The following is a 9,675-nucleotide window of genomic DNA, read 5'->3' on the forward strand; positions in this document are numbered from 1 at the left end:
TTGCTATATTCAACATGTTTTCAAAAAATATATTTCAAATGAATTTTTAAAAAGTTAAGATGCAATCATCAGTAATAATTATTCTTTACTCATTTTATTTTAAGACAAAAATCTATTTTAAAGAATAATTATCAAATTTAAACACTTTACTCAAATTCAGTAAAATATTTCATATATATATTCAAATATGCAAATACCAAGAAAAAATATTGCATATCTTATCTCACATTGTTTTACTATTTCAATTTTAAACACTTACTGAAAAATATCTCTAAATGTTTATATGGAATGACAAAATTTAAATGCCTTATTTTTCAGCAGCTAGTGTTTTTTCAACCAGGGTTCCACCGTACCCTAATTTCAGCAAGATATCACTAGTGATTTCGTTAGAGAACATGATCAAACAAAAACATATATTTACTTGCCACTTAATGCTAGTGCTCATAATGATGCACAATGACTGAATAGCCTATTTAGCAGTTGTAGTAGAGGATATTAAGCTCCCATTTGGCTGCATATAGGACTGTGTTCCTTTGGCTGAGTCCATTTCTTGTTTTTGATGCACAGTGGAAGAGACTTGATAACTTATGAGTACTTTATTGTACAGAGGAGCCAATGGCTGATGATGCTATTCCATCTTCAGTTAGCTCCCTTGAATTTTCTTGCATACAGTTCACTTAATTACAGAAGAAAACATGCTCTACTCCTGATATGGTTTGACTCTGTGTCCCCACCCAAATCTCATCTTGAATTGTACTCCCATAATTCCCATGTGTTCTGGGAGGGACCCAGTGGGAGATAATTGAATCGTGGGAGCAGTTTCCTCCATACTGTTCTCGAGATAGTGAATAAGTCTCACACAATCTGATGGTTCTATAAGGGGTTTCTGCTTTCGCTTCTTTCTCATTCTGTCTTGCCACCACCATGTAAGAAGTACCAAATACCGCATGTTCTCACACATAGATGGGAATTGAACAATGAGAACACTTGGACACGGGGTGGGGAACATCACACACCGGGGCCAGTCGTGGGATGGGGGAGAGGGGAGGGATAGCATTAGGAGATATACCTAGTGTAAATGACGAGTTAACGGGTGCAGCACGCCAACATGGCACATGTATACATATGTAACAAACCTGCACGTTGTGCACATGTACCCTAGAACTTAAAGTATAATAATAAAAAAAAAAAAGAAAAAGAAATAAGAAGTGCCTTTCGCCTTCCGCCATGATGTGAGGTCTCCTCAGCCACGTGGAACTGTGAGTCCATTAAACCTATTATTCTTCCCAGACTCGGGTATGCTTTTATCAGCAGCGTGAAAATGGACCAATACAGCTCCTATAATAAAAAATCAGAGGAAAATTTTAATCCTGAAGAAGGAATTTTTACATACTGTGATCCAGCTGCCGTGCCATTTTGCTGTTGTTCTGGGTGCTACAAAATATGATTATGTAGATTAGAAGTAAATTGTATTGTGAAGTTTCATATTTTTAATTTTCTCACTTGTTTGCCCTTCTGATTTATATTCATTAGGGTTTGCATTTTACAAACATGTCTGATGTTTCAATGTGCTTATTTTGAATATAATGTGTGAGATAGAAGAGAATTCTAGATCTAAGATGAAAAATAATTTTGGTAATGTTAGTAATTAGTAATTACAAATTTCAAGTTCTTTTACCGCACTAGTGTAACAGAGGACACGAAACAAACTTTCTGTTACAAGGAAAATCACTTATTACTGAGTCTTACATGGGCTGCTGATTCACGTTGTCCTATTCTATTGTGTGTTGTCTGTGACAAACAACTAAGATATGCAGCAATTACTCCAGCATAGTTGTAAAGCAAGCTTACTAAAGATCACAGCATTTGAAGAGTAAAGGTGCTAAATATTTTAAGCAAACACTGGAATCTCAAAACAGAGTAAGGCTTTTTAAAACAATTGGACAATTAACAGGTTAAGAAAGCAAGCTATTTTGAAAAAGTTATTGCCTGAAAAGCAAAAGCACATAGTTGGTGAGAATCTATTAGTGCCAGCATTCTAGATGAAGATGTGCTAGAAAAAAACAGAAAAGATTCCACTTTTGTAATATTCAATTAGTCACATGATAATATGTTACATGATGCTGAAAAGGCTTTGTGTAATAAACTGATAAACAATAGCTTCTGTTATCCAAGTTGACAACTTAACGGATTTTTGCCAATAATTGTCACCCTGCAACATTTTTAAGATTTATAAATTATGGAGAAATTTAAGAAACATTTTCTGCTACAAAAAATAATGCTACCTATAAAAAGCAAAGGCCATTTTCTTTGCAATGCTAGTCTCTGATTAAACAGATTTTAAACCAACAAAAATCAAAAGAGACAAAGAAAAGCATTACATAATGATAAAGGGATCAATGCAACAAGAAAAGCTAACTGTCCTAAATATACGTGTACCCAATACAGGAGCACCTAGATTCATTAAAAAGTTCTTAGAGACCTAAAAAGAGACTTAGACTCCCACACAATAATAGTTGGAGACTTTAACACCCCACTGTCAATATTAGACAGATCAACGAGACAGAATATTAACAAGGATATTCAGGACTTGAACTCTGCTCTGGACCAAGCGGACCTAATAGACATCTACAGAACTCTCCACCCCAGATCAACAGAATATACATTCTTCTCACCACCACATCACACTTATTCTAAAATCAACACATAATTGGAAGTAAAACACTCCTCAGCAAATGCAAAAGAATGGAAATTATAACAAACAGTCTCTCAGAACACAATGCAGTCAAATTAGAATTCAGGATTAAGAAACTCACTCAAAACCACACAACTACATGGAAACTGAACAACCTGCTCCTGAATGACTACTGGGTAAATAACGAAACAAAGGAAGAAATAAATAAGTTCTTTGAAACCAATGAGAACAAAGATACAATGCACCAGAATCTCTGGGATACAACTAAAGCATTCTTCAGAGGGAGATTTATAGCACTAAATGCCCACATGAGAAGCAGGAAGGATCCAAAATCAACACCCTAATATCACAATTAAAAGAACTAGAGAAGTGAGAGCAAACAAATTCAAAAGCTAGCAGAAGAGAAGAAATAACTAAGAACAGAGAAGAACTAAAGGAGATAGAGACATGAAAAACCCTTCAAAAAATCAATATATCCAGGAGCTGTTTTTTTTAAAGATTAACAAAATAGATAGGCAGCTAGGCAGACTAACGAAAAGAAAAGAGAGAAGAATAAAATAGGCACAATAAAAAATGATAAAGGGGATATCACCACTGATGCCACAGAAATACAAACTATCATCAGAGAATACTATAAACACCTCTATGCAAATAAACTAGAAAATCTAGAAGAAATGGATAAATCCCTGAGCACATACACCCACCCAAGACTAAATAAGGACAAAGTCAAATCCCTGAATAGACCAATAACAAGTTCATTCTAAAATTGAGGCAGTAATTAATAGCATACCAATCAAAAACAGCCCAGGACCAGATGGATTCACAGCCGAATTCTACCAGAGGTAAAAAGAGGAGCTGATACCATTACTTCTGAAATTATTCCAAAAAACAGAAAATGAAGGACTCCTCCCTAACTCATTTTATGAGGCCAGCATCATCCTGATACAAAAACCTGGCAGAAACACAACAAAAAAAGAAAATTGAAGGCCAATATCCCTGATGAATATTGATGCAAAAATCCTCAATAAAATACTGACAAACCAAATCCAGCAGCACATTAAAAAAGCTTATCCACCACGATCAAGCCGGCTTCATCCCTGGGATGCAAGGCTGGTTCAACGTACACAAATCAATAAACATAATCCATCACATAAACAGAACCAATGACAAAAACCACATAATTATCTCAATAGAGGCAGAAAAGGCCTTCAACAAAATTCAACAGCCCTTCATGCTAAAAACTCTCAATAAACTAGGTATTGATGGAACATATCTCAAAATAATAAGAGCTATTTATGACAAACCCACAGCCAATATTATACTGAACAGGCAAAACCTGGAAGCATCCCCTTTGAAAACCAGCACAAGACAAGGATCCCCTCTCTCACCTATTCCACATAATATTGGAAGTTCTGGCCAAGGCAATCAGGCAAGAGAAAGAAATAAAGTGTATTCAAATAGGAAGAGAGGAAGTCAAATTGTCTCTGTTTGCAGATGACATGATTTTATATTTAGAAAACCCCATCATCTCAGCCCCAAATCTCCTTAAACTGGTAAGCAACTTCAGCAAATCTCAGGATACAAAATCAATGTGCAAATATCACAAGCTTTCTTACACACCAATAACAGACAAGCAGAGAGCCAAATCATGAATGAACTTTCATTCACAATTGCTACAAAAAGAATAAAATACCTAGGAATACAACTTAGAAGAGATGTGAAGGACCTCTTTGAAGGGGTGGCCTGCCTCTCCACACCTGTGGGCATTTCTCTTCAGGTGGAACGAGAGACTTGAGAAAAGAAAGAGACACAGAGACAAAATATAGAGAAAGAAAAGTGGGCCCAGGGGACCAGTGCTCAGCATATGGAGGACCCGCGCGCCGGCACCAGTCTCTGAGTTCCCTCAGTATTTATTGATCGTTATCTCTACCATCTCAGAAAGGGGGATGTGGCAGGACAATAGGGTAATAGTGGAGAGTGGGTCAGCAGGAAAACATGTGAACAAATGTCTCTGCATCATAAACACGGTAAAGAAAAAAGTGCTGTGCTTTTGATGTGCATATACATAAACATCTCAATGCCTTAAAGAGCAGTATTGCCTCCAGCATGTGTCATTTCCAGCCCTAAGGCGGTTTTCTCCTATCTCAGTAGATGGAATACAGAATTGGGTTTTACACGCAGACATTCCATTGCCCAGGGACAAGCAGAAGACAGATGTCTTCCTCTTATCTCAACTGCAAAGAGGCCTTCCTCTTTTACTAATCCTCCTCAGCACAGACCCTTTACGGGTGTCGGGTTGGGGGATAGTCAGGTATTTCCCTTCCCATGAGGCCATATTTCAGACTATCACATGGGGAGGAACCTTGGACAATACCTGGCTTTCCTAGGCAGAGGTCCCTGCCGCCTTCCTCAGTGTTTTGTGTCCCTGGGTACTTGAGATTAGGGAGTGGTGATGACTTTTAACAAGCATGCTGCCTTCAAGCATTTGTTTAACAAAGCACATCCTGCATAGCCCTAAACCCATTAAACCTTGAGTCCACAAAGCACATGTTTCTGTGAGCACAGGGTTGGGGGTAGGGTTACAGAATAACAGCAATCTCAAGGCGGAAGAATTTTTCTTAGTACAGAACACAATGGAGTCTCTTATGTCTACTTCTTTCCACATAGACACCATAACAGTCTGATCTCTCTTTCTTTTCCCCACACCTCTTCAAGGAGAACTACAAATCACTGCTCAAGGAAATAAGAGAGGACACAAACAGATGAAAAAGCATACCATGCTCATGGATAGGAAGAATCAATGTCATGAAAATGGCCATACTGCCCAAAGAAATTTATAGATCCAATGCTATCTCCATCAATCTACCATTGACTTTCTTCACAGAATTAGAAAAAACTACTTTAAATTCCATGTGGAAACAAAAAAGTTCCCATATGGCCAAGACAATCCTAAGCAAAAAGAACAAAGCTGGAGGCATCACGCTATCTGACTTCAAATGATATTACAAGGCTACAGTAACCAAAGCATCATGGTACTGGTACCAAAACAGATATATAGACCAATAGAACAAAATGGAGGCCTCAGAAATAATGCCACACATCTATAACCATCTGATCTTTGACAAACCTGACAAAAACAAGAAATGGGGAAACAATTCCCTATTTAATGAATGGTATTGGGAAAACTGGCTAGCCATATGTAGAAAACTGAAACTGGACCCTTTCCTTACATCTTATACAAAAATTAACTCAAGATGGATTAAAGACTTACATGTAAGACCTAAAACCATAAAAATCCTAGAAGAAAACCTAGGCAATTCCATTCAGGACATAGGCATGGACAAACACTTCATGACTAAAACACCAAAAGCAATAGCAACAAAAGCCAAAATTGACAAATGGGATCTAATTAAACTAAAGAGCTTCTGCACAGCAAGAGAAACTATCATAAGAGTGAACAGCCAACCTATAGAATGGGAAAACATTTTTGCAATCTATGCATCTGACAAAGGGGTAATATCCAGAATTTACAAAGAACTTAAACAAATTAACAAGAGAAAAAACAAGTAACCCCATCAAAAAGTAGGTGAAGGATATTAACAGACACTCCTCAAAAGAAGACATTTATGTGTCCAACAATGTGTCCAATATGAAAAAAAGCTCATCATCTCTGGTCATTAGAGAAATGCAAATCAAAACTACAATAAGATACCATCTCAAGCCAATTGGAATGACAATCATCAAAAAGTCAGGAAACAACAGATGCTGGCGAGGATGCGGAGAAATAGGAAAGCTTTTACACTGTTGGTGGGAGTGTGAATTATTTCAACCATTGTGGAAGACAGTGTGGGGATTCCTCAAGGATCTGCAACCAGAAATACCATTTGACCCAGCAATCCCATTACTGGGTATATACCCAAAGGATTATAAATCATTCTTCTAAAAAGACATATGCACATGTATGTTTAATGCAGCAATATTCACAACAGCAAAGATTTAGATCCAACTGAAATGCCCATCAACAATAGACTGGATAAAGAAAATGTGGCACATATACACCATGGAATACTATGCAGCCATAAAAAAGGGATGAGTTCATGTCCTTTGCAGGGATTTGGATGAAGGTGGAAATCATCATTCTCAGCAAACTAACACAGGAACAGAAAACCAAACACTGCACAATCTCACTCATAAGTGGGAGTTGAACAATGAGAACACATGGACCCAGGAAGGGGAACATCATACACTGGGACCTGTTGGGGGGTGGGGGGCTATGGGAGGGATAGCATTAGGAGCAATACATAATGTAGATGATGGATTGATGGGTGCAGCAAACCACCATGTCACTTGTATACATATGTAACAAACCTGCAGGTTCTGCACATGTATCCAAGAGCTTAAAGTATAATAATTCTTTTTTTAAAAAAAGCAAAGGACAAAACATACTTAATGTTTTGTCTTTATGTCTGGAAACAAAGCTGTGTCTTAAAGAAACTGTGTGGATACCCTGGTGTCCCATAGTTAGACCACCTTGCATCCTATAGATGGTCAAAACTAATGGAAGAAAATGTATTTCTTCAGAAAGTGCTGTGACATAAGTGAATATCTTCTATAAGAAAGACTCTGGACTAAATACTTGAAAGAAAGAGTCAATTTAGACAGAGTAGCTGGGCTCAATGAGCTAAATAATCTAGCTAGGAAGAAGTACACTTACATAAGTCCCTTTTATGCAATTGTATGATTAATTTTAAAAAAGATCTTCAGAATATATGGGATGACCAATATGATGATGAATGTTCACTAAGAAAGTTGGGAAAGTGAGATATAAGTTGATTTCAGTCTCTATGGACAGATCTAATTAGGGTGAGGAGACTGGATGGAAGCTTCCAGACACTGGTAAATAACGTGTGCAAATGTGGGAAATTTTTTTGCCTTTGGTATATTGGACAGCACATGAGTAGATGTTTTATAATTTCATTAAATAGTCAACAAATATATGGAGTTATTATTATGCCTCACTTATTGTATGAGGGGTTGTGGATCCAAGAGAACAAAATGGATATAGTAGGTTTGGGATGTGAGTATTTGATTTAAGAGAAGATTCAAAGTCTATATTCTTTATTACCAACACAAATTTATTAGAATACTGTCATGGTGGGGAAAGATGTTAAATAATTGCCTTGCAACTTCAAAATGCTAGTTTTTCCCAGAGAACAGGAAGACTTAAATAGCCTTAGTAATCCATATTAATTTCATAGTTATACAAATTATTAAAAGTGTTGATAAAACTAGAGCTTTATGCTTATAAATATTAGCAAAATTTCAGGGTTGCCTGAAAGTACCGAGGCCACACTTTCCATTCCACTCCTTGAACATGTGTTCTGGATACTAGCCAATATGTGTGTACATTAAAGGAAATACAACTGAATCCTGTGCTTCTGTTTTTTCTTCTTCTTCTTCTTCCATAAGTACATATGTTATCATCTGAGTCAGGCACACAGTTAAGAATACTAGTGAAAGATTCATTGACTGCTTTCTCCACTCAGGACTAATGGCCACGAGAGATGGCAAATGTTATAATTCGTTTATAATCTCTGAATGTTCATATTATTTCTTGAATTCAATTTTATATAGGGAAGTGAAACATTTTGTCTGTACTGTAAGTCCATTTATACAAAATAAATTCAGGTATATTTAACTACAGTAGTCCCATCTTATCCTTAGGAAATATGTTCCAAGACTCCCAGTAGTTGCCTGAAACCACAGATAGTACTGAATCTTACATGCACTATGATTTTTACTACATACACATACCTATAATTAAGTTTAATTTATAAACTGGGCACAGTAAGAGATAAACAATAATAACTATCATAAAATAGAACAATTATAACAATATACTGTAATAAAAGTTATGTAAATGTGACCCCTCCTTCTATCTGTTCTCTGCCTCTCTCTAAAAATATCTTATTGTTCTGTACTCACCTATTTTCAGAATCAGTTCACCACCAGTGACTAAAACTCCAGAAAGCAAAACTTCTGAGAAGAAGGGCTACAGTAGTCACAATTAGTTCCAGGGTCACTTACAGCAAATATTTTTCCACCATTTCCTTAACACTTAGTAACTTTATACAAAAGAGTGTATTTTGTACTTGTTTAAAACTAAAAAAATTAAGTGGCCCCTATACAATAAAAATGTGTGAAAAACAAACAATTAAAGATGCTGATTCTGTTTTCATCACCTAGAAACATGAATCATGTTGTAGTAAGTGCCCAAATATTAGACACATATACCATTGTTTAAATATAAGTTAGAATATTCATTTTTGAACTCAATGTTTAATTATCACTATCTTAGATTATTTAAAGATAATCCATCATTGCTCATTTTTGCAAAATTGACTATATTTCCTATACATCCAAGAATTTCAGTTAATAACAATAAAATGCATAACTTTATGCAGTAAAAAAAATAGATCCCTAACGAATTTTTTGGCGGGCACTACATTTCTAGGACTATACTGTTATTTCTTCTCAGCATATGTTTCCCTTGGAACCTGCCATGTTCCTAAACTGTGTCCCAGCCCCCTGATCACAGTTGATCATTTCAGGGATAAACTTTGAACCAAGTTGTGCTAATAGTTTCCTTTACTGAGAGTTTTAGATCAGCAAATTAGAAAGGGAAATCACTTTCTCCGTATGTTAAATGTGTTATAAAGTTTTACTAGAGAGGCCAGGAACGGTGGCTCACGCCTGTAATCCCAGCACTTTGGAGGCCGAGGTTGGAGGATCATGAGGTCAGGAGTTCGAGACCAGCCTAACCAACGTGGTGAAACCCTGTCTCTACTAAAATTACAAAAATTAGCCTGGCGTGGTGGCACCTGCCTGTAATCCCAGCTACTCAGGAGGCTGAGGCAGGAGAATCGCTTGAATCGGGAGGCGGAGGTTGCAGTGTGCCGAGATCGCACCACTGCACTCCA

The 9,675-nt window shown here is 36.7% G+C and overlaps 1 annotated feature.

The window, feature by feature from the left end:
* Positions 4,886–5,417: an enhancer, noted in NCBI's record as "OCT4-NANOG hESC enhancer chr1:196078321-196078852 (GRCh37/hg19 assembly coordinates)". NCBI's record gives its function as "activates a minimal SCP1, AML or CMV promoter by ChIP-STARR-seq in primed H9 embryonic stem cells {active_cell/tissue: H9 hESC(primed)}" and the evidence as "EXISTENCE:reporter gene assay evidence [ECO:0000049][PMID:30033119]".

This window comes from Homo sapiens, chromosome 1, assembly GCF_000001405.40.
Source record: "Homo sapiens chromosome 1, GRCh38.p14 Primary Assembly".
Taxonomy (NCBI): Eukaryota; Metazoa; Chordata; class Mammalia; order Primates; family Hominidae; genus Homo; species Homo sapiens.